Source organism: Homo sapiens, chromosome 3, assembly GCF_000001405.40.
Source record: "Homo sapiens chromosome 3, GRCh38.p14 Primary Assembly".
Taxonomy (NCBI): domain Eukaryota; kingdom Metazoa; phylum Chordata; class Mammalia; order Primates; family Hominidae; genus Homo; species Homo sapiens.
In genome coordinates this window covers 130,407,108-130,432,460 of record NC_000003.12, presented here as the reverse complement: position 1 = coordinate 130,432,460, position 25,353 = coordinate 130,407,108, and the positions used below count along the sequence as shown (strand labels likewise).

The 25,353-nt window shown below is 39.9% G+C and overlaps 1 protein-coding gene across 3 annotated transcripts in view, besides 1 other annotated feature; it reads right to left on the bottom strand.

Moving 5' to 3' along the window:
* The window catches only part of COL6A5 (collagen type VI alpha 5 chain), a 139,175-nt gene that overhangs the window by 52,386 nt on the left and 61,436 nt on the right, over window positions 1–25,353 (bottom strand). For all 3 annotated transcript variants that reach the window (NR_022012.3, NM_001278298.2, NM_153264.7), the window contains exons 18-33: window positions 23,073–23,135; window positions 22,387–22,452; window positions 21,937–21,990; window positions 18,881–18,916; window positions 18,330–18,392; window positions 16,754–16,816; window positions 15,642–15,704; window positions 13,530–13,592; window positions 11,258–11,308; window positions 11,101–11,136; window positions 9,679–9,741; window positions 8,561–8,623; window positions 6,212–6,247; window positions 6,058–6,094; window positions 2,877–2,888; window positions 512–996 (exon numbers count right to left, since the gene is read on the bottom strand). Coding sequence is in view for 2 of the 3 variants with exons in the window: in NM_001278298.2 (NP_001265227.1) it covers window positions 512–996; window positions 2,877–2,888; window positions 6,058–6,094; window positions 6,212–6,247; window positions 8,561–8,623; window positions 9,679–9,741; window positions 11,101–11,136; window positions 11,258–11,308; window positions 13,530–13,592; window positions 15,642–15,704; window positions 16,754–16,816; window positions 18,330–18,392; window positions 18,881–18,916; window positions 21,937–21,990; window positions 22,387–22,452; window positions 23,073–23,135 (1,254 nt within the window). In the remaining variant the exon portion in view is untranslated. The remainder of the gene's footprint in view (window positions 1–511; window positions 997–2,876; window positions 2,889–6,057; window positions 6,095–6,211; window positions 6,248–8,560; window positions 8,624–9,678; window positions 9,742–11,100; window positions 11,137–11,257; window positions 11,309–13,529; window positions 13,593–15,641; window positions 15,705–16,753; window positions 16,817–18,329; window positions 18,393–18,880; window positions 18,917–21,936; window positions 21,991–22,386; window positions 22,453–23,072; window positions 23,136–25,353) is intronic.
* Window positions 23,356–24,555: an enhancer, noted in NCBI's record as "CDK7 strongly-dependent group 2 enhancer chr3:130126750-130127949 (GRCh37/hg19 assembly coordinates)". NCBI's record gives its function as "activates an origin of replication core promoter dependent on BRD2, BRD4, P300/CBP, MED14 and CDK7 cofactors, with strong dependence on CDK7, by STARR-seq in HCT116 cells {active_cell/tissue: HCT116}" and the evidence as "EXISTENCE:reporter gene assay evidence [ECO:0000049][PMID:35650434]".

The window sequence follows — 25,353 nt, the reverse complement described above, 5'->3', positions numbered from 1 at the left end:
TCCTGTCTCAGCCTCCTGAGTAGCTGGGATTACAGGCACGCGCCACCATGCAGCTAATTTTTGTATTTTTAGTAGAGATGAAGTTTCACCATGTTGGCCAGGATGGTCTCGATCTCCTGACCTCATGATTCGCCCGCCTTGGCCTCCCGAAGTTCTGGGATTACAGGCATGAGCCACCGCGCCCAGCCCCAGTTTCCTCATTTTTAACATGGAGACAACAGCTGCATTGACCTCCGAGGGCTGTGAGAATGTATGAATACATATGGAAAGCTCTAGGGACAGTGCCTGGCATACAGCACGAGCTGAGCAAATGTGGTTGCTGTTATCATTGACTGTTGTTATTATTCAGGATTGGATTTCACAGACATTGACAACAATATAGCTGTGAAAACTGTAAAGGAGTTTTCAAGAGGCCACATATATTTCTTGACTCTCTACCACTCCCATCCTGCCCTATCACAATACCTACCTCTATCTTAAAATTAAAGAAGTTGCCAAGAGAAATTCTTACCCCAAAAGCTTCAAGGAAAACTCTCTCATCAAAAGCAAAGACTGTTGGACTGATATCCAGGGCACTAAACTCCATGGTGGCCGTGATGATGGATGACCTACTGGCTGTTTGACCATTGCTAAAAAACACAGCAACTCTCCTCACGTTGGCTCCTGCATACGTCCGCTTGAACACGTTGCGGGTCACAAACCTCATTGCATTACCAACATCTCGGGGCTCTGTGGTGTCTTGATATTTTATTTGGGAAAGCTGCTGGAGGAGCTGCTTCTTCCTATTGTAGTCAGACCAGCGGATGAGATAGCTGGTGCCTGAGTTATAGGAAACCATGGCAACTCTTGCTCCCACAGGACAGTTATTTTCCCTGATGTTAAGGTCATTGACAATGGAAGTGATGATGTCCCGTGTTTTATTAAAGCTCTCTTCTGTGACATCGTAGGAATTGTCCAGAGCAAATACTAGCTCTGTTGGATATGCTGGACATTTTTCTAGAAAAAAGAAAAGCAGAAGTATTAAGTTATTTCACTGGATCAAAATCCTTTCCCCAACTCTTTACTCCAATGAAGTGGGTTCATACAGAGGCAAAGCAAGTGCTTCATCCAGCTCTAGAACTAAAGGTACCCATGTGCAAAGAAAGGAAAGAAATCTGGCCTGCAAACTTGAAGCTGTTAACATAAATGCAGAGCATGAATATTTGGCTATATAATGCTCAGACTTCACAGCCCACTATCAATCAGTCAGCTGTGTAAAATGAAATTGGTGGGAGTTCTTGAGCTGATGGAACTCTTCTGTGTCCTGACTGGGATAGTGGTTACATGAATCTACACATTTGGTAAAACTGAACACATACAAAGAGAAATAAATTTTACTGTGTGTAAAATTTAAAAATGAATAAAAATAAATTATAGCTTATTGGAGATCTTGAAAATCTGCTCTCCCCCAAAATCTTCTGAAATGATCTATTAATTATAAAGATAGATGTAAGATTTCCATCCACTTATGCAACAAATATTTGAGTACCTACCACATGAAATGCAGCATAACATTCACTGTGAAATGCATGCAAAGATGAATCAAGTGCAGCACTGCCTTCGAGGAACTTGTATTGGCAAGGATCATTATACTATAAGGTACAGAGTAAAGATTATTCTTAATGAGGATTCAGAGGATAAAGAGGCTGTTTCCAAAAAGGGGCTATCTCAGGGGCTTCAGGAAAGCTGGCTTTCAGTGAAGGCCAGGGTGGCAAGAGGAAGGAAGCAACGGGAACCAAGAAAAGTTTGCAATAAGCTCTTATAAAAATGGGACTATCTGCCATTCCTAGCTCAATACTCATGTCTTATGATGACTGAACTTTAGAATTTCATAGAAAATCTACCCTATGTATCAAACCTCACTTTTCAATGTCCTTGTTAAAGTCTGAACACAGGAAGAGAAAAATGATTTTTCTTTTAATAAGCACTTCCATCTGCTCAGGCTGTTCTCTATCCCCAATCTGGCTAACTCCCAAAGCATATTACACTCAAAATATCCCATATCCCAACCACTGTTCTTAGAAATAAAAATAGAGAAGTATTCATTTAGAGAAGTGTTTTGAATCAAAGAATTTTACCATGAAGAAATTTCAGTAATTTTAAAATATGAAAGCTGATAATAAACAATAGAATAAGAAAAATGAAAGATATATTTAATCCAAATCCATGAAGTTGTATTGAGCACTTACTCTTTGCAAGGTATATTTTTGCAGAATTAAGGTGAATGGCTCCAAACTTGCACCGAGCTTAAAGACCCTGAGGGTCTACATCAGCAGGCCTCTAGGAGACCAGGAGGTTTTGAAATTGACATAGCCACTGGCTCCAATGGCCTTGCCACCCAAGGGCTCTAAGGTGCCATGCAGCCCCGACTACAGGTTAGGCCCTGGGAAGACCATCCACAGCCATGGGCAGGAAAGGTTTACAAGTAGTGGGCACTCAGTGAGATGACAGGTTTGAGTGTGGGCCAGAGGGAGGAAAGGGCACATCTCACACCCAAGAAGCCAGTGTCAAGGGCGTCAGCAGCAGACAGAGCAACAGAACGTGGATTAGTCAGAGAGCCATGTTTACTGAATCCCCCAGCAGCACAGGGCCAGCACTGGGGAGAAACTGACTTGTAAACTGTGATGGGTCCCAGGCTAGGGGCTGGGATTCAGTCACCATTTCATAAACAGGTCAATCATGACACTGACAATTACAGTCATAATCAAAAGAAAGAACTGTCTGCATAGAAGGAAGAAGTCCTGTTTCCCACGGAGTTGAGGGCATCTTTCAGATTGGTCTTGTTGGAATGCAGCAGTAATGATCTCAGCAGGGAACAGCATGGTAAGAATACTCACCTTTCCAGCAAGCTGTGAAAAGGAGAGAGGGAAAAGTTTGTTACCTTCTTGAAACAAGACTAAAAATAGTTCAAAAAACAACATTTTAACAAAGCTGAAAATGTTATTTGAGTCTAACTGCAAATGAGGCTAATTCCTAAGTGACAGGAAGCCAAGGTTAAAGTATTGAGGAAGATGTCAACAGAATTTTATTAATTTGTTAGCCTTCCTAACCTTTTCCATTTGTGAGCCACAGCCAGCAGACTTTAGCAGAATTTTGGTTGAAACTGAAACACTGATCACTTGTCTTAGAAGCAAAAACAGATGAGCCTCTGATTAAACAGCAAGATAGCTGAAATTCAATTTGTTTTGCCTCATCTTATAGCCTTCTGAGAGTCATTCAGCAATGCAAGGCTAAAATACGGGGTCTTATTTTCTTCCCTGATGAATATCTTGGGAGCCTTTATTTTCCCATACAACCATAGGGGGATTTCCAAGTGAATTTTGTCTTTGATAAAAAACAGCTCCTCTGTTTGAGTGATCTCCACATCCAGAGGGAGGAAGAAAAAACCCCAAGCGTTTCTCCTGAGCAAAACAGCATCTGGTTCCCTCAACTGAGAGGAATCCGGGAAAGTATTGATACATCTTTAAGAAACCACAGGCCTGACAATTTCCATGTTCATTTCACTCGATTCCTAGGAAGCAAATGAGTCACTCCAATATAATAAAAGATATTATTAATACTGGCAACGCACCAGCCTTCTGTCTTGCTGTCGTGCAACAGTGGTCCTCTGCCATCCACCCTTGTGAACACCTCTTGTTTGTCTTAACCCCATGGCCCCTGGGATGCTAACTGCCATCAGACAGCACACATAACCCACAGCCTCCTTTGCATCTGTAGGCTCAAAACAGACCCCTTTTTCCTGACTGAGTACTTCCACGTGTTAACTTCAAACATAGCTGCAAGGCTACAAGCACAGGTCGTAGAAGCAGAAACCCCGCTGGGTTTGAGTCTGGAAAAGCTGGGTGACTTAGGGGGAAATTACTTAAACTCTTTTGAACAATTTCTTTAAAGTTGATTTTTCCTAAAAATCTTTACTTATGTGTCTCCCTCCAAAATGCTAATCACTTGGGCCCTTCTGTTTTATTCTCAACCACCCCCTTTCTCTCTTAATTTCCCCCAGCCTTCTAGACACCTTCTTTTATTTTCCAAAGACAGTCTCAGCCTGGCCCTCATCCCTGTATGTCACAGAGCTGCTACTGGACTGAGGAGCAAATGATGTTAGATGAGAAGCCTTGGAAATGTCAGCTATTAAGTGAGGCCATTTAGATCAGCTCTAACGGCCTGTTGCCTGCATCTTAATCTCCAGTCTGCATCCTGGAGTTCCGTGTTATCCAATCAGTGCCCTGTGTGGTTATAGAACTTGCCTACTCTTCTCTGACCTCCTGATTTATGGGCTAATTCCTTTTATTCTATGTTGGAAAACTTCTCCCTTCAAATCCCAAACCCTCCAATGCTGGTCCTCACCTCCCCAGCCCCTTCCACCTACCTTTGGTCTTCTTTGGGAAGACATAATTTGATTTCACTGAGAAGACTGGCAACATGAGGAAAGTTGATCCCACATTCATTTCTCCTACAATGGTTCTTCCCTTTTTCTCTCCCTGTGGTCCCAGTCCCTAGTTCTCATCTCCTCGTGTGCTGAAGGGCCTTTCCCACTATCTCCTCCCTTTGAACCTCCTCTCCATTGCCTCCTTCCTCTTGCCTCCTTGCAAGCTGCCCACATTTGGCAGGACTCTCCCATCTCTGTAATGCCATTTTTCTGTACCTTGGCCCCACTCTTTTTGCCAAGAAACAGAAACTCCTTGAGATTCTGTTTCTGACTCTCTAATTTTACATTTGGAGAAACCTCATGCATCCATGTGTTTTGAAGGACCACCAGCACTGAATGACTTCAACATCTGAGTCTCCTTCCCTCACCTTTACTAAAGCCCCATTTCACTGGGGTCGATCGTTTCATGTAGGGTCTACACAAGATTCCTCTACCCCTAAAATATGTAAACTAATCATCTTCTCCAACCAATTGATTTCCCTTCACAATTCCTCCTCTGCTTACTCATCCTTGGTGACACTCAGCCTCTCCCCTGCTAGCCTGACGGTTATTCTAAACTTGCTTTTTTGCTGTTCTTTCCTTGCCACATACTTGCAATGACAACATTTTTATCTAGTCTCCTTCAGTAAAGTTTCTGATTTTCCCCTTTTACATTCTTCTGATTATGATTATTTAAAAACCACAATGGAAACATAATGAAGAAACACAGATCTCCTAAAATTCCACCTCCTTGAACACAGTAAATCATTGTTTTTCTACTTTTGCTTCTAGTACTTGTTTCTATGTATGTATTTACCTACCTGCAAAAATAATGAGGATTCAATTTCATTTTATAATATTTAATGCCTGTATTTTTCAAAGTTTGATTGTCTTCATAAAAACTATATTTGGTTAATATTTTCTCAGAAGATGATATATTATAACCTAATTATTCTATAAGTGTAAACAGTCTAAATGTATAATCATTTTGCTTTAGCAAATAATATTCCAACAATCATATATTTACCTATATTTTTTCTTTCTTTTGCTGTATTTCCTTGGGACAAATTTTCAGAAATTATATTACTGGGCTTTTCTACCTTATTTTTCCTTCTTTATAACCAAAGACAACCTCTTTATGTTGACTCCTGCTTTATTCCTTTTCTGAAACTATTTTTTGCCACCCCCATCACTTTCCCATAGCTGGATTCAGTTACCCCCATGCAAACATCCTTTATTAACTGAGTAACCGACTAGTCCCAAACCCCCATGATCATCCCTTTAACAACATGCCCTCCCAGTCCTTTCGCTCATAACTGTTATACTAATGTGAGTTAATTCACTCATCTTTTGGGTTTTTCTCTAATTTTCCTATATGCATGTTTTCTCTTGATGTCTGCATTGCCCCTCATGAGCGAAGGCACTTTTACTTATACCCCCTTTCCTCTCTCCTTTAATGTGCAATATTCTACAGTAGGCACTCCAGACAAGCTTGTTACAGAGGCTTCCCACCAGTGAACTCATCCTACTGATCTCACATACCCACACTGCATACAGTCCTAAGTGCCTCACCAACCATTGATGGATGCTCTTGTTCCGTAACAGATACTCACGACTATGTTCCCGCAAAAACCGGATCAGATCACATTGCTGTAAATGTTGAAAAAGGAGAGAGAAAAGAAATGCAAGTACAGTGACTTTTGAGTAACTGTGTTTATTTCCCAGTGAACTTATTGAGTTTTCTTTCATGAATAAGGAGATACATACAGAATATACAGGCTGCCCTGCCATGCCTTTAATGCCCTAGGAAAAACAAAAACAGAGCAAGTTAGTGGTATGCCAACTGAAGTCTTTAGTCTTTAGTAATAAAACAAGACAAAACAAAAAACTTTCTTTCTTAAAAGCACAGCTGGTAGAGAGTAGTTAAAATATTCCTGAACCCAGTGGATTAATTGCCATATATTTTCCCTACTCACATCAAGGGTGTAGATTTTTTCTTTCAGTGTTAGATCAGGTAAGCTAATGTTTACCAAAGTTAACAAAATTATTTTTCTTCAGTGATAAGAAGAAACAAAGGTATTTCTTAAAGATACTTTTACTAAAGATGTAATACTTAGAGGAAGGTATTTCTCATAAGAATGCTTAAAATTATAAACAGCAGACTTTTCAAAGGGCAGTGCCAAGGAGAGTAATTTATTGGGAATTCAGAGGAACAGTTATATTACGCATCAAGAGTGTAAAGCACAGGAAATAAGAAACAGCCTCTACATATGAGAAAGGCCCAAAGACAATTACACAGAAAAATAAACATTACACAAAAGAAGAGTTACAGAAGTGTAACTAAATCATTACAACAAGCTCATAAATGCCAAGAGATTATGGAGCAAAGCAAAACAAATACTTTGGTGAGTTGAATCAGGGAAGACTTCCTGAAAGAAATCAGTCCTTCTTTCTCAGCAGCTTGAGCTTTTCTCTTTGCTCCTTCTTACTTCCATTAATTAGGATCAGGCTTCTCCTTGGCTGTGATTCTTAATATATTTGCAAATATAGGTTCCCTTGGGCAACTAATGAATGCCTGTATGCTCACTTCAAAAAAAATGTGATTTCATGCTTACACTTGTACAATTTCATTGACTCCCTCAGAGGTTCAACCAGGGATGTCGGCATAAGAACCTCTGTTCTAAATGACAACTGGGTTACTTCTTCATTGGTCCATCCATCCAATAAACAGTTAAAGGTCTGCTGAATGTCTATGTGGCCTATTGTGGATTGCTGGAGTTAATCCGAACTGTTGTGGCATCCCCAGTCGTACCCATTGGGACACATTAACCTTCTAATTCGAATCAGGAAATTATGCATCCACGAAAACATGTAGTGTCATTCTTCCTTTTACAAGTTATGGCAGATAACAGAAAAGAATGCATGACCATTTAAACAGAGAGATAAACAGTTTCTGGCTAATACACAGAGTAGACAGTCCACATTTTACAGAGAATCAGAACCATGGAGAGGATGTCCTGAAAGAGCGAGCCCTTAAATAACTTTGAACAAGTTCTTAAGCAGAGGCTGAGGATCAAGAGCTTGAGACAAAGAAGCCAAATTCCAGTCCAGACTAGCTTGGCCAAGCACAAGACCAGGAAGATGTGGGTGTCCCCAGATGAGAGCCCCAGAATCTGAGGAGATAAATCCAGAACAGACCAGATTGGCCCAGAGACTACATTCTCACTCGCATAACTAGGAATATTCACACATTCCTTAATGCCAAAAAAGTAAATATTGTATCAGAGTATCCTTACAGTTAGCTGATTGTCATTCTAATATGGATTCAGTTTTCCACAAAACCATTCACGTTTTTTGCTTTCATAATAAAGTCCCAAGTTCAAGAACCTCTTCAAGTAATCAGAAAATACTCACAATGCACAAAACAAGATAAGCAGCTTATCCACTCCTTACACAATGCTGCCTGGGTCTCCACCACAAAACACAGGTGCTCGCAATATTTAATTCTCACCTGACTGTGCTTGTTAGGAGAGACAGACATGTAACTAAATCATTACAACAACCTGGGAGGCACTAAAATAGAGAGATGGCTATTTCGTCAGTGGGAGATATGCCTGACTCTGCCTGAGAACGCCTCCAGAGGTGCCATTTTTCTTGTAATAGAATCATAGGGGAAGTTGCGCCTATATTTCCAAATCTCTCTGAAGTCTAAATTTTGAGGATAGGAAGGCAACAATAGTGGTTTTGGTAAACTCCATCAACCTGGAGTTAACACTGGAGTTAACCAATATTAACTATTTGCATTGTACTTTATATATTTTATTTACTATTAATTATTTTGCAATGCAATATTATTATTTGTAAACCTTACAGTTTACAAAGAGTATTCACATTTGATTATCTGATCCTCACAGCTACCTTTTGAGGTAGTTAGGACAGAATATGTCATCCACTCATTTTAGAAATAAACTCAAAGACCCAGTGACTGGGTCATATAGCTAGTAAAAAGCAGAATCTGGACTTAAATCCAGTGCATTTGACTTTAAATTCTGTGCCCTTTCCATGGAACATACTGGAAACTACTATATCCTATTTAGTTCTTATGGATACACTTACTCTCTGTCCAGGAGGGCCTGGGAGTCCTCGAGATCCCTCTTCACCTTTCAAGCCTACAGTGAGCTGCAGATAGGAATATATTAATACATTAGTTTCAACACTGTCTATCTATGGGGACTACTTCAGTTTCGATAAGACTTTCTAATTTTAAAAAAAATTTTAAAAAGATAGCAGCTATTAATTGAAGTCAGGTAAATTGCTTACTTGTGATACAAACAATATATTCTTAATGACAGCTAAACATCCATTTCCCTCCTAGCCTCTTTGTGACATACTTTGTTCTGGCACTGGCCGTGCATTTCAATCTTAATTAGCCATAAATTGGGATTGGTGCTAATTGGAAGAGCAAATATATGAGGGTACACAGACATCTAATGAGAAACCTCCCATCTGTAAAAGATCAAATAAGAAAAATGATTCCCTACACTCATAAGAGGACATGAGTGGGCTATGTCATTCTCATACCCCAAAGTGATGGATACGGATACTAATGAAATTTATCCAGCCAGATGGAAAGTATCCATTAAGTTGCATCTTTTTTCACACTGATGGTGACCACTGATATGGCACTCAAACTTTAAAATGAAAGGATGCTTGTCTCAGCATTTTGCTTCTAAGTAAGTAAGCATAATATTCGATTTTGCACTTTGCTAATTAGAAGATCTCAATAGCCTCCCTCAAAATAGCCTACATGACCTTGTGATGGATAGTGGAATTGTCAGAAACCTTCAGGGACACAGTGGGAAGGACATCTTCCCACTGTCACCTTCATTTCCACTCACAGGGTTAATATGCCAAGATTTAATACGCGCCTTAGAAAAGACTGGAAGGCACTGACATTTCTTGGAACAGCAAGTTATCAATTTGTAAATCTTTAAAATAGTACTGATTCATTGAACCATAAACTTTTAGAGCTGAATGTGACCTTAGATGTCACTAAGTTCAATTCTTATGTTACTGAAATAGAGACCCTGAAAAGATGTGTTGAAGGTCACAGCTAGCAAGTGGCATTTCAGATGCCCTTGGGTTGAATCAATAATCCACATTTATTATTATAACATAAAAGCCAAAGTCTGCCAAAGGAATATTTATCATTTCTGGAATTATAGGCTACTTACTGCTAGTCCCCTAAATCCTTTGGGTCCAGGTCCCCCAGGAATTCCAGGATTACCAATATCACCCTGAAGATTCAGATATAAAAAGTCAAGATGTTAAAGTATTTGCTATGAAAGAATTAAAAAAAAAACTCTCTGGACTCAAACTTGATTGATATTATGACAATCATACATTAATGAAGGCCAATACAACATTAAATGTCATCTTTTCCTGTCATTTGGAACTAAGTCATTGGTACACTTATTCTTCAAACTATTTTTAATTTTTTAATAATATAAATATTTACATATACATTTCAATTCAGTGGTCATCCAGTTACTACGAATATCCAAAGAAAATGCTTGAAAACCCAGAAAAACATTTGGAGTATTGACTATATGAAATAAATAATGAATTACTTTATAAATTCATAAAACATTTATGAAAAAAGTTGAGGTGAAAATAATCTATTCTGATTTTTTAAAATTTTGACAGTTATTTATCGACATGCTTATTTCACATTTATCAGTAAGTTGAATTATGCTAATTTTCTCCCTTTATCAGTAAATTGGAAAATTGATCCTCTACAATGAGGACTTTCTTTCTAATGGTGATTTATATTGTCCCTTTTGCACCCTTTTGTACTTAAGAATCTCTTTTGGTAATTCATTCATTAAAAATAGTTTTAAGAGGATTCAGCAGTTGACAGTTTTCCTATACTTTATTTGATTAATTAGATATTCTACTTTTTAACCCATATTTTGTATTTTAATATAAGCATCACTTATGTAGAAGACATTGTTCTGGACTTTTTTTTCTAAGGGAGATCTTTTTACAGAATTCCAATGTATAAAACAGACATAACTTAAGCTACTTGGGTTGAGATGAAAGGTATGTCTGTTCCTACAGCATGAAGATGGATTTCTATCTGGCAGGCAATGAGGAATTCTTGAAGATGTTTGAGTAGGAAAGTGGCATAATTTAGCTATGCTTTGGAAAAAAATCAAGTGACAGTAGTGTTTGGAATTAACTGAATCAGGGAAAAGATGGAAGGAGGAACCCAATTAGAAGGATATTGTAATCTTTCAGGTGAGAGAAAATAAAGGGCACAATAATGAAGAACAAATAGCAATAACCAAAGCCAAGAGTATTGAATGAAATCACCAAGGCAGAAAATCAAGAAGAGAACAGAAGACTGAACTTGAGAGGATACCTGGAGGTAGGCTTTCAAGGCAGAGGCATCAGGCAATGATGGACAGAACAATCTTTTCCAATGTAAAGATTCACAGGGGTTAAATATGATTCTTTCCTCAGGAAGCCCAAGGAAAACAACTGTCCTTGGTTTCTCCTTATTGTCCCCATTTCATTCAGACCTACAGGTTTATCTCAGTTCTCAAGTAGAAGGTTAAGATCATGGTAATTTCAAAAGGTCATGCATACAATACCTTCTGCCCCGCATCTCCAGGGAATCCTCTTGGGCCCTATAATTTTCAGCACAGAACATAAATACATCAACATATCACTTCTGCAGTATGAACATTTCTTCTTGTATTATTTAGTTTGATTCATCAATGAATAAAAATAATTGATTTCCATATTTACCTTTACTCCTTTTCGTCCCATCTGACCGTAGCCTGGGATGCCAGAATCTCCCTGTGTAAACACACCAGTTTTTTTCAATTTCTCAAAGGTGGAAATTAATTTTAATCTATACTGGGGAGATTACAGTGTCAGAAGAGAAGCACTAGGGACTTCCATGCAGAAGGGGCCTAATTGGTGACCTTGAACCCTGGGAACATTGTGTTGCTGTGTTTTCCTCACTCCCTGATATGTTCCCTGTACTTCTTTGACCAGCTCCATTCTGTAAACATTGCAGGAAACAGAGGGGTGGTCATTCAGGACTTGTGGAGTCAGTGGCAGTTTCTTCCCTAGAAAATTAGGAGCTGGTCCAAACAACACAGGTGAGAAACTCTCTGAAGAAGGATTACAAATAGTCAATAGACATACAGAAAAAAATGTTCGTCCTCCCTGGTAACAAAAAAATGCAAATTTGACCCTGCAATGAGATACTATCTTTGTCAATGGTAAAGATGGAAAAAAGTGACAATACCTGTTGTTGTGGATGCCCTAAAACAAACACTCTCCTGAATAACAGGTGGATCCACATACTGTTTGAATTTTCCTAAGGGCACTTCATAATGGAGTTCAAAGCCTTTATGAAACATGTACATATTCTTCGATCCAGCTATGCTACTTTAGAAATCTCTATGTAGAAATTCATTATGGTTTTGTCCAAAATTTTAGTTAGGTACATGAATGTTCATTGCTGTGTTGTTTACCACAGTGAAAAACTGAAAGCAAGCTAAATAACCAGTAACAAGATATCGGTCACATAAATGAATGTTATATGCATTTAGTAGAATATTTTGAAGCTACTAAAAATGATGTTGAGGAAAAATGTAATGACATGAAAATATGCTCACGATACATTGTTTAGAGTGATTTTTAAAAAATTTCCAGGATGATAATGATAAATATCTCAAAATGGTGGATTATAAGTAATTTTCCTTTTCTTCCCTCTTTCCTATGTTTTATTCTGGGTAAATTTTCTTTCCTTCTCTCTCTTCCCCTCTCCTCCTTCTTTCCTCTCTTCCTTCCTTCTTTCTTCCTTTCCTTTTAGATTCATGTTTTCAAATTAGATCACATAAAAAGATACTTTTTAAGACTTGCTGGACCATTCTACAACCATTTAATTTTATGGATAGAAAATGCAATGAAGGAAGACTGAAAGCCTTTATGGAGGCAATGGATTGTGGGTGTAGCCATAAGTCAGAAACTTGCTGTGCCCTAATCATTTTTTCCCCTGTAAGCCTCTGGCTCCTTATGTTTATTTACTATTTTTTTCTTTTTTTGTTGTTGCAATTTTCAAATATACGATATATTGTTATTAACTGTAGTCACCATGATATACAATAGATCTCTTGAACTTATTACTTCTTTCTAATTGAAATTTTGTATACTTTGACCAACATCTCCCTAGTTACCACCTCTGGCAACTACCATTTTAATTCTCTGTTTCTATGATTTTGACTTTCTTTTACATTTCACCTATAAGTGAGATCTTGTTGTATTTAACTTTCCATGCCTGGTTTATTTCACTTCACATAATGTTCTCTGGATCCATCCATGTTGTCACAAATGACCAGATTTTCTTCTTTTTAAAGGCTGAATAGTATTCCATTATGCATACATACTACATTTTCTTTATCCATTCATCCATTGATGGATACTTAGGTTGATCCCATATTTTCTTGGCTATTGTGAAAAATGTTTGTGCTTGGTAAATTTTCTATGATATCTATGTATAACGTTTGTAATAAACATTAATTTTTTAAAAATGAAATAATTGTTCCTATACTGGCTGCTCCATGAGCTGAGATCTTGTTACAGCCAAAGCCATTAGGACAGAGTGCAGGCATAAAAATGTGATGCCCCATTTCTTAGCCTTATTCCTCTATCTCTTATTGTCACCTTAGACTTTTGCAAGAAAGGAGGAGAAATGGGCAGTGTTGTTTTTCAACGGATATGCATCTATGTGGCCATGCTGGTTGTTAAGGTATTGAAATGCCCTGTTCTAACTCATCCATTATCCTCTCTGCCTACCCTCATTCTCCTGCTTGCTGTTCTCCTTCACGTTGACAGACTATCTATGGAATGAGAGCTTTAGGGGGTGGGAGAAATGTTCTCACATTTTCCTAGATGCTGAAATACCTTTCATGCCCCCCATAATTGGGCTGAAGGTGTCAACCCCTTCTCTTTACCTTGGAACTGAATACCCAGATCTGGGGAGGGTAGGGACTTCAAAACTTCATACCTGTCTTCCTCGCTGCCCAGTTTGCCCCACTGGCCCTAGATCTCCAGGAAGTCCAGGCTCTCCCTAGTAAGTGGGACAAGAAGAGCTTCAGATCAGTAAAATCAAACCTGGTTCCTACCACGGTAAGTTCTGTCCACTCGATGAGGAGACTCAAGGTTCTCAGTGAGGGGTCAGTGCTCACTAAGGGGATGAGTGTAGGGCACAAATTATGTTTTTTTCATAGCTAGCAGAAGATGTCTAGCACAGCCCAGAGCTGGACTGGTGTGCTGCTTTTCCAGTGTTATAAAAGTACTGAAGGAGAAGACAAAAAGTAGAAAATTGACTCCAGGGAAAGTTGACTCATTTGCTGATGCATTTGCCTATCCAACAATTACTTATTGAACTGCAAAATAAACACATTAGGGGAGGTCCTGTCCTCACCTGGCTGGAAAAAGAAATTATTAGACAGGCAATTATAATATTGTGAGATAAGGTTCAGGGTGCTATGGAAGCAAACAGAAGGGGAGTCTAAGTCAGATTTGGTGAGCCTGAGGAGGCTGCCGAAAGGAAAGGAGCAGGGAAGCTGAGGACTGAAGGATGAGTTGTATGTCAGGGGACTGGGCAAGAAAGGGGTGAGAGTGATCCAGGAAGAGGGAAGACATTAGTGAGAGGCCTGAGGCAGGCACGCAGGAGGGAGGTAAGCAGTGAAACCTTAGAATGAAATGGGGCAAATAGCAAAGGGCCTTGTAAATGACCCCCTACCTTATTAACAAATAATTGCATATGTTTAAGGTGTACAACATGATTTGATATACATATATGTTGTATAATGATTGCCACAGTTAAGTTAGGTAATGTATCTATTGCCTTATCTTGTTACCACTTTTCCTTTTTTATTTTTGCTTTATGTTGACAGCATTTAAGATCTACTCTCTTAGCAAAATTTCGAGTATACAATACTGTATTTTTAACCACAGTCACCATGCTATACATTAGCTCCCCAGAATTTATTTATCTTGTAACTACCTTAAAGTTTGAATATTTCCTGGAGGCCATGGGAAAGCCAAGACCCGTGATACAATTTGCTGGGCTCAGTGTAAAAGGAAAACTCAGGCCCCTTGCTTAAAAAATGAGATTCAGGACCATGACAGCAGAGCATTAAACTCATCAGGGGGTTCTTCTCAGCAAGGCCACCTGTGTGGCTGCACAGGTCACAGGACCCTGGAGAGGGGGCCATTGAAAGGTTTTAAACAGGGGAGTCAGATTCCGATGAGGTTAATCATTTGCTCTCTGACGATCCCCAACAGAGCCATCTCAGAGATAGTCGTGGTTCGAGAACCACATGCACCAACGGATTTGAGTTCTGATGCCACCCATCCTCCACTCAACTCAGCAACCACATGCATTCTTGGATTCAGGAAATCAGGGAGTGAAAGAGATCTTTTAGAGTTGTTTCTGATGGGTGAGATCACTCTCTCCTAGGGAAAGGGGGCAGTTTCATGGAGAGGTCAGCAGTTAGAAACTCTTTGCTCAATGGAAGGAAGAGTACATATTAGTGGAATGCTGGTGACTTGCTGATGGTGCTTGGATTCAATCACATGAGGAATTAACATGAAAATCAGGAAGAAAATGGAGGTACTTTGGTATTTGAAATCCATAAGAAATATCATTTACTTTTTTCAAGAAGGAGTTCATGTCCTCTGCAGGAACATGGATGAAGCTGGAAGCCATCATTCTCAGCAAACTAACACAGGAAGAGAAAACCAAACACTGCATGTTCTCACTCATAAGTGGGAGTTCAACAATGAGAACACATAGACACAGAGAGGGGAACATCACACACTAGGGTCTGTCGGGGGGTGGGGGCCAAGGAGAGGGAGAGCATTAGGACAAATACCTAATGCATGCGGGGCTTAAAACCTAGACGATGGGTTGATGGGGGCAGCAAACCACCATGGCACATGTATCCCTATGTAACAAACCTGCATGTTCTGCACATGTATCCCAGAACTTAAAGTAGAATTTAAAAAAAGAAAATATCACATTGTACCTCATAAAAATATGCAATTATTAATTATCCATTAAATATAAAATATGTTTTTAAAAGAATTAAAAAACAGAAATAATATCTACTTTTTTCCCCAAAAGTCCAGGTCTTCCAGTGCTCCCTTTAGCTCCCATTAGCCCAGGAGAACCCTGAAAAAAAAATTAGAGACTAAAATGTTGGCACCGTAGTAATTCTTAGAAAGCCCATTAGAAACATTTCACTTTCCTTCATGCTATTCCCAACAACTCCTTGATGCAGCCTTAACAAAAGATCCAGCCACCCAGGAGGAGAGAAGCAGATGGCAGAGCTGAACCAGATGACTCAGGTTCCAGTCCTAGTTAGAGGACCACATGTTTTAATCTGCAGGGACATCACTAGTCCATACGGGGCTTAGTGAGAAAAAGAAAAGGCACCCTTGAGTCAACACATGCTATTCCCAAATGTGGGAAAATTGTCATAATGCACTGATTTTTTTAGAAGAAGACACTTTGCCACCTTTGTGCCCGTACCATATGTGCATACATAACGGCATGCAGGATATGTTTCAGCTTCCCAATAAAAAAATGGGCAGACGTGTCTTTCACACACATATTATCAGAAAGATAACTGACCACACATGCTAGGAATATAGAAATATGGGTATCCCTTGCCTTGTGAACTCTCACCGTCTGAGCAGAACTGAATAGATTTAGAACATTTTTCCTACACATCCTTCACCATTCAAACTCTTATTTCTCAGGAAACAAACAGGTTCAGATGGGGAATTCAAGAGGTGAACATAGGAATCAAGTAGGTTTGAGTAGCAAGGGATCTTTGTACAGTCAATTTTAAATATCTATAGTGAATGGAGACATAGGTGCATGGCATGTATAACTTTTAAAAGTTAGAAAAATCAGAATAATGTATCAGTTTTTGGAGAAAATGTTATGATTGGGCAATATTTATATTCTTCCAAATGCTTTCTTTAGGCTGATGAAATGGATCTGTGCTTTCAGAGTAAAACCCCAGTGAAGGAGAAAGAGGAGTGCTTTAGCTACGTATGAGGAATCTGAGCTGCGCTAGAATTTTGCCCCAGATAATCCAAAAATGAAATAATATATATGTAAATAATACAAAAAATTATATGTGAAGATTTTTTTGCACTAAGAGGAAAATAACTGTTGAGAGTCATTGAGCCTAATGTCTCCGAGTCACTCACCTGAGGTCCTTTCTGCCCCTGGCTTCCTTTTTCTCCTTTTCTGCCAGGATTTCCCTGTGACCCCTTTAGTGGTAACAAAGGAAATACAATGCAATTATGTCAATGAAAGCTTACTTCTCAGTGTTTCTTTTGAAACACCCTGCAGAAAAGCAATGGTCCAGCCCTTCCCACAGCCTTTTAACCCTGAGATTAAGCATGTATTAAGAGTCATTGAGGACAGGCCCAGTGGACTCAGTGGTCCAGATCTCTTTAAGGAATTCCCGGCCTGGATATAAGACCTTCATCCCTCTTCTACAGAGGAAATAAAAATAGGCCAAAGCGGGAAATGAAACCTATAAGCAAAGGAAGTAAGACACAAACAACAGTCAGATGAATTCCTTTAAAGGGACGGGTTACCTGAGCCAAAGCCCTTATTAATGTGTAAAGTAGAGAGTAAAGTTGTTTCAAGTTAGCACAAAAGGGCGTCTTAGCAGCAGACCTCTATCAGAAGAATCAAAGTCTATTTTTCTGCCATATTTGCCATCAAACACGTGGTTCTCATGCGGTTATCTCACACAGAAGCAAAAACTAGAGGTGGCAGTAACGTTTCTTCCTATTGAAGTACCAGCTGTGAACTGGCCCTGGGCTGCCCAGGAGCCATCAGGTGAGCCTTGATTCACTGTCTCAGTGTCAAAGGGACCCACGGGTGTCTGAGGTATCTGAAGTAACTGTCATTGCCACCCCCACATCCACCCCAAAGCCTGGGAATGGATCTAGGCTGGTCCCATCCCTACCCAATCTAGAGAAACTGCTAGCTCATAGCTTGGTTCAGGGACCCCAGAACCACTCAAGAGAATCCCAAATTCCAGTTTGGTCCTAATACCTGAATTTTCTAGAAAATAATGAATTCCTGGGAAGACCTTAGAATAGGCACAGCTACACAGGCCCTTCCATACGAGTCCAGGCTTAAGGTGGGCTTCATGTAAAGTGGGCTTCATAAGATGACTAAACAACCATGTGCTACGAAGCTACTCTCCAGAATGACCACAGCTTCCCCTTCTGTCACAGAGGGAAGTAAGACAATGATGCTCTGACTTCCGGTGCTCACATGACTAATGATATGACCATGAAAGATGCAAATGGCTCACAGAAAGCCCTATCAGTCATATTTCAGAAATACTGATACCCCTGTAGAGTTAGCTTTAAGCAAGTCGAGTAGCAGTTTCCAACTTTCAACTAATTTTCCTTTGTGGGAGCCTGTGTATGCAGGACCCCAGCTATGGAAAACCAATTTGTTGATCCTGGTGTTAATTATTAATGTAATATGAAGGTATTAATCATTCACTATTACTAATAAGAAGACACAATACCAGGTGAGCACAAGAGCACATCTTTCCTCTACAAAGGCTTATTAGTGACCTACGAACAACGAAGCAAGTTTGATGGAATGAAATCACCCCCCACCCCATGATAGGGAATGCAAAATAGGGCAGGGGGCAGATTCTCAGTTATTTATTTTTATACAGAAATACCTGCCTTCTTCCCATCAGAATAACTTTACAGCATTTATCAATATTTACAAAATATTCCAACACACCTGTGGGCCTTGTAATCCTTCAGCTCCCAATGTGCCTGTAGGTCCAGGATTTCCTGGTTCTCCCTGATGAACAAGAGTTTCCAGTGTCAAGCATTTCTACACGTTGTTTCCATATAGATTTTCTTTTCATACTATTTACATCAGAAATAGGTACTATTTTGTCTGACTTGTGGCTCACCCTCTACTTGGCCTAGGATTTTACAGTTCTAGACTGTCTAAGGAATGAACATAAACTTGTTTCTTACTCCAATAAGGAATTTCTCTCTCTTGAAGTTGATTCCCAAAGCACATGAAGAGCAGTCAAATGCACAATATTTGGAATTGCACAGGTTCTGCCTGTCTGCCAGGTATCTATCAGGGAGGCTTTTCCTTAGGTCTGTTCTGTTCCCGGGAGCTGCAGTGATTATTGGGTCAGTGGGGATCACGTCCAGTACTGGGCACTTCCTATACCCTTGTAAAATGCTCATTGATATGATTCCCAGCACCACCTACATGGGAGAAACCTCCTTGGTCCCATCAACCACAGAGAACAGGAAGTCAAGGTTACTTACTGAGACACCTCGGAGTCCCCTTTGACCTTCTCTTCCCTGGGACAGAAAAGGCAAACTGTTAGTATGTGGATGTCTGAATGGAGGGGTTCCTTGAGGCAAATCAGCCTCTTTCATTCTCTGCTAGACATAAGTAATGAGCAGCTCACAGAAACAGTTTCCCTGAGGCATTTTCCATAGACAAGCTTTCACACTGGGCACTTAATTAGAGACTAACATTTGGGGGACTGATTGCAAACTAATCTAAAAGTCATTACAGACCCAGCTCCAGTCTGACAGCCTCTAACAATTATCCAGGAGGCTGTTTAGAGAATCAAATCATCCTGAAGATCCTGTCTCCTGTATTTCCCTCTCCGGCAAATCCCAAAAAGCACTGTCTGCTAATCAGAGCCTTCCCATGGGAGAAGAGCTGTGGCACATCCATTTCTTTCTGTCCTGGGCCCCTGATTGTATCTCCTTTCCAGAGGGTAGCCAAATGGGAAAAGGATTCAGGCCCCAGATCCTAACTTCCTTATCCCTAAACAGCAAGAATGAGATTTGCACCCTCTTATCACCCCCTCAAACCCTGTCTTTGCCTCCTTGAGAGAGCTGTGGAACATCTCGACCACCAATTAACTTAGTGTTGTGATAAACAACCATGATTACTTTAGGTAAAAAGCAAGTACTTTTGAAAATTCTATTTCTTCATTCATTTATTCAGAAATGTAGCCATGGAAATTATTTTGGAACTGCTGTTTTCTTTCAACTGCCCACCTTCTGAAGGTCCTTAGAATAAACTATCAGATCAAGTATCAGCTCCACCAGGTTGGCTATTGCTTACAATGTTTCCACTGAAGTTCTGCCCCTTGATTCAAGCTACTTTTTGCTTTTAAGATGCAAATACTCTTTGAAAGAAGTTACCCATTGAAACTTTTCAGCTGTTTGTACCCAGAATCAATCTCCAAAGCTCTTGACATAAAAAAGCAGAGAAGAAACAGTAAACAAAGATTGAGGCCTCGGTTCCTATAACATCACAATTCTGTCTTCATTAAAAAGCAAGGATAAAATAATGTGTATTCTGTGTAACAGACTATATGCACAATGGTTAGAGATATGTCCTTGAAAATCAGGCAGACTTGAGCTCAGTTTTGTTCTTTAAAGCCTGTGTGGCACAGGGCAATTGCCCAATAAACCTCACCCAGTGTGGTTAGCAGCCCAGACTCTGGAGGGAGACAGACTGAGTTCAAATCCCAGCTGTGCCACTTAGTAGTTCTTGTGACCTTGGGCAAGCTGCCCAAGGTTTCTTGATTTTTTCCATCTGGAAAAATGGATATAATAATAGTATCTACCTCACAGGTATGTTATGAGGATTAAATGAATTAATATTTGAAAGTGATTTGAGCAAGACCTGGTGCAAAATAGATGCTATAGAAGTATTCTTTGTGTATGGCAGGCAAAAAGCATAGGGCCTTGAATGTGGATTCCAGTGTGGTTTTCAGTGTGTGGATCCATTGTTTTGGGAACAACGGGTAAAACAATTAATTTACATAAGTTGAAATTCTGTCACATAGAAGACAATGTCTTGGATTGTCTTACGTTGTTTAAAATTTATCATCCACTTAAGATGCTCCCACCCTCACAGAGAACTCTATTCTGCGTCGGAAAGTTGGGGAGAGGGGAGAAAACCTGATGTTGTTTCATATCAATGTTGCCTTGTTTAATTCAGGAGAAAAGAAATTACAAAGGAGGAGGTCAGCAGGGAAATGGGTAGATGAGGAGGGGGCCGAGAGCCTCATGTCCTGTAATTGGCTGGTTTGTCCATGATTTATTGCCTATACCACTCCTGGCATCTCTTTTTTTAAAGTACCTCATTGATGTGTCAGTTATAAAGCTATTTTAAACTAAAAGTATTTCCTCTTAAACCAACAAAAATACACACTTATCTTTAAAATTTATAGCATTTAGCTCATCTTGCTGCTCTACTGCTTCCTCTTATTACATTCTAATTCTCTTGTGTGAAGAAGAGGGCAAAGTCCCAAAGAATTTTACCAGAAGCACTGGAAAGCCTAACCCCTTCCAACTCCAGCTCTTTTCCTTTAAGAATTGTGGTTCAAGATAAACAAAGGCAAGTGGTATAAAAACACATTTCTTCACCATCTATCCCAGAGAGAAGGGCAATCAGCCACAGCCTTCAAAATAATAAGATTCCAAATTTGTACTAGAAAAGAAATCCAAGCATTTTCAATTCCTTCTTGAACAAAACTCAGAGCCAAATCTAGGACTTTGTCCATTATTCTCTTCTAATGATGTCCATGCTGAGCGCATGAGAGAGGAGTTTTTAATACATTATAAATATCACTTCCAGCTTCAGTAGTCTACAGAAGGAAAGGCGATTTCTTGGTTGCTCCTTTTAAAAAGATATGGAAGTCCAATATCCCCATTTTTTGCTGTGATAGGCTTGATATAACGTGGGATGCTGTAAAGTTATGCCAGCACCTCAAGGTTGCCACTTGACCCTAATTGCCAGTGCTTTGGCCCATTTAGGAAGAATTTGTTTGTGAGTCCTCTTTCTCATTGGCAACATGTAAAGCGAAAGTATATTTACCTAGTTCATAGTATTCTTATGTAAGCTACCAAAGGAGAGCTTTTGTGTCAAAATCATTGGCTCTCTTCAAAGACATCCCAAAACACCTGGAAGGTGGAAAGGGAAAGGCCAACTATGTTACAGTCGTTTCAACCAGGGGTGATTTTGCCTCTCAAACTCACCACTACTACATCCACCACAGACATCTGACAATATTTAGAGACGCTTGTGAATGTCACAAGTGGGCAGTGGGGAGGGGTGGTGCTACTGATACTAGTGGGTAGAGACCAGGGATGCTGCAAAACATCTGGCAATGCATAGCATAGCCATTCACAAGAAATAATTATTGGCCCCAAATTTCAGTAGTGTCAAGATGGAGAAGCCCTGAAAAATATTTCAGCCCTGAATCAGCCAACTGTGCACAACAAATATTCTGAATGCCTCTGTCATCTTCAAGTGGCAAGGAGGGGAAATAAATGTCCACAGAAATACTTACCCTGCTGCCTCTGGAACTAGGACTGCCTTGCACCCCTTTCTGTCCACTTCTACCCTAAAAATATAATAATTTCCTCAAGATCAAAAGGAAAAAATTCTGAATAAATCACAAAGGCATCAGCATCAAAACCTCAAGCACTATTAAAATGGCAGAATAAACATGTCATGCTGTGATCATTCTGCATATTAACAGTTATATGCCCTTTCAAGAAGAAAAAAGTATAGCAACATTCACTGCTACATTTTCCAAAATAATATCACTTGCCAGAAACTTCATAATTTTGCTCTTAAAAGTATACCCTACTACAAATATGCATCATCAAAAAATAAAGGTCTTTTCAATGTGGTCTTAAGAGCATTTGTTCAATTACAGAAGGGTTACATATCTTACTAAATTTACTTGGATCAATAACAGAATTAATCAACTCATAGATAAAACAGATCAAATTACTTGTCTTCCTTGTTCTCCTTTGGAGCCCTTTTGTCCTTTGATGTTATTGTTTTGTCCTGGATTACCCTAGAGAAAGATTTTTAAAAGTAGTTTAGAATCCAGAAATATCAGCTTTTTCCCCAAAACGGTATGATGTTCAAGTACTAAGCTAATTTGGGTCAAGCTATAAGAGGTGTGAGAAATTTTTTCATATTCGAAACTCACAGGATTTTGGAAAAAATCAAAGCAGTACTTCCTCAAGTTTGAAGAAGATTTGGCAATAAATAAAGAATTAAAAGGGTGCCTGCTACATGGTGATTTTCCCTTTTCTATGATGGCAGCTTCACTGATGCACTGGTTCAAATATTCTTAGGCTATTCCCTCAAGGGTGTAAAAAGATTCCCCCGTAACTAAGTCTGCAAATAGTGAATCTGTAGGTCTGCAAGATTAGAAGTCCAATAAATAAAGCTATGGAAATGTTCTCCCAAAGGAACCAGAAAGTCTCAGCGTACCATAAGGATTCAGAAGATGGGCCTAACCCAGATAAGACACAAACAGACTTTTCCCAAAGCCTCAGCCAACACCTATCACCCCTACTCCTAAGACAACCATTTGCCTACAGGGTAGGCAGGAAACACAAAGGGAAAGGAGATAGGAACTGTGGAGCAAGTATAAAATTCAGAGCCAACTGGGCCCTAGAAACTTACCGGATCCCCTGGGAAGCCCTTCTCTCCATACTGCCCAGGGGCACCTCTGGAACCTGGGCTGCCCTGAAAAAAATGAAATGAATTTCTGAGTTAGCTTGTAGGAGGCTTGTATAATGGTGTTAAGTGTGAAGTTTTGTATGTAGGGGGGTTAATCAGATAAAATGCTCTTTGTCCTATCACAGTCAGATTCCCTCAGACTTCTCAAGCAGTACTAAGTCCAGTTTTAAGCCTATGGTCAGGATTATTTGTAGCGAGGCTCAGAAACTGGAAAACTTCTCGTGGTCTAACATAGCACTGTCCAATAGGAGTTTCTGCAGTGATGGAAATGTTCTATATCTGCATTCATCAATACGGTAGCCATTAGCCATATGTGGCTATTAAGCACATAAAATGTAATCAATGCCACTAAAGAGCAGAATTTCTTAATTAATTAAAATTAAACTTTAAATAATCACATGTGGTTAGTGGCTATGGTATTGGACATCCTAGCCAGTCTAGCAACTTCCAACATCTATAATTAAATTGCCCACTGAAAACTTCCACAGGGATGTTCTATCGGGGGAACCAGCCCCCAATATTTCAACGTAGTTTCTTTTCTATTTTCCCTAAGTGTCACTAGTCTAAGAAATAAAGGGAAAGAGTACAAAAGAGAGAAATTTTACAGCTGGGTCTCTGGGGGTGACATCACATGTCGGCAGGTTCTGTGATGCCCCTTGAGCCACAAAACCAGCAAGTTTTTATTAGGGGTTTCAAAAGGGGAGTGGTGTACGAATAGGGAGTGGGTCACAGAGATCATATGCTTCAAAGGCAATAAAATATCACAAGGGCAGAGAGACAGAGTGAGATCACAAGGCCAGGGCGAAACTAGAATTACTGATGAAGGTCCACGTCCTGCTGGGCACACATTGTCATTGATAAACATCTTAACAGGAAACAGTGTTCGCGAGCAGACAACCAGTCTGACTAGAATTCGCCAGGCTGGAATTTCCTAATCCTAGCAAGCCTGGGGGCGTTGCAGGAGACCAGGGCGTATTTCATCCCTTATCTACAACTACATAAGACAGACACTCCCAGAGCAGCCATTTTAGAGACCCGCCCCCACCCCCTGCCACCACCCCCACACCGGGAATGCATTCGTTTTCCCAGGGTGATTCCTTGCTGAGAAAATAATTCAGCGATATTTCTCCTATTCACTTTCTGAAAGAAGAGAAATATGACTCTGTTCTGTCCGGCCCCGCAGGCAGTCAGACTTTGTGGTTATCTCCCTTGTTCCCTGAAAATCGCTGTTATCCTGTCTTTTTCAAGGTGCTCAGATTTCATATTGTTCAAACACACATGGTTTACAAACAATTTGTGCAGATAACACAATCATCACAGGGTCCTGAGGCGACATATATCCTCAGCTTACAAAGATGATGGGATTAAGAGATTAAAGACAGGCATAGGAAATTATAAGAGTATTCATTGGGGAAGTGATAAATGTCCATGAAATCTTCACAGTTTATGTTCTTCTGCTGTGGCTTCAGCCTCTGTTCGGGTTCCCTGACTTCCTGCAACATGTTCCATTGTCACCTCAAACCTAATTATTTCCGATTAAACTTGCCCAAGCCAGGATCCTTGCAGGCATATTGACTGACTCTCTATTTTCTGTTCCTCTAGTCACCTATATCTGGAGATTTCAGGTCCTAGAACCAGGACTAGTGTGAGATGAGAGAGGCACCTAAGGTGCAGAATGGAGGTAGGTATTTACTCCACATAACTCTGCCCCTTTTGCACCTTAGGTGCCCTGCTAGCCTCACTTCAGTCCAAACCCCGCTACACCCTTAGCATATTTTGTGTCTGTTCTCACTATCATTGCTTTACTTGAAGGCTTCATCACTTCTCACCTGATTTCTACAGATCTGCCTCTCATCTTTGTCTTGCATCTATGTCATCTGCAAAGTATCGTCCACATTACTGCAAGTAATATTTCTAAAATGTAAATCTGATTGTGATTCTTCTGCTTAAAATCTTTCAAAGGCTCCCCATTGCCTTACGGTTAAAAACCAAGCTCTTCCACATGGCTCACTAGTGCCCTCCCAATCTCTTGATCTCTTCCCACCACCACCTCTTGAACCTCACCTCCCAGTACCTGTATTCTAATGCTCCCTCCAGGAAGTAAAATTTGGCAGTGCCCTGAACCCTCATGTTTTTGCTTATGCTACTCCCTCTGTCTGGAATGCCCTTCCTCCACATCTTTGCCTTGCTGAATTCCTGTTCCTCTTCAGCTCAGAAGTCATTT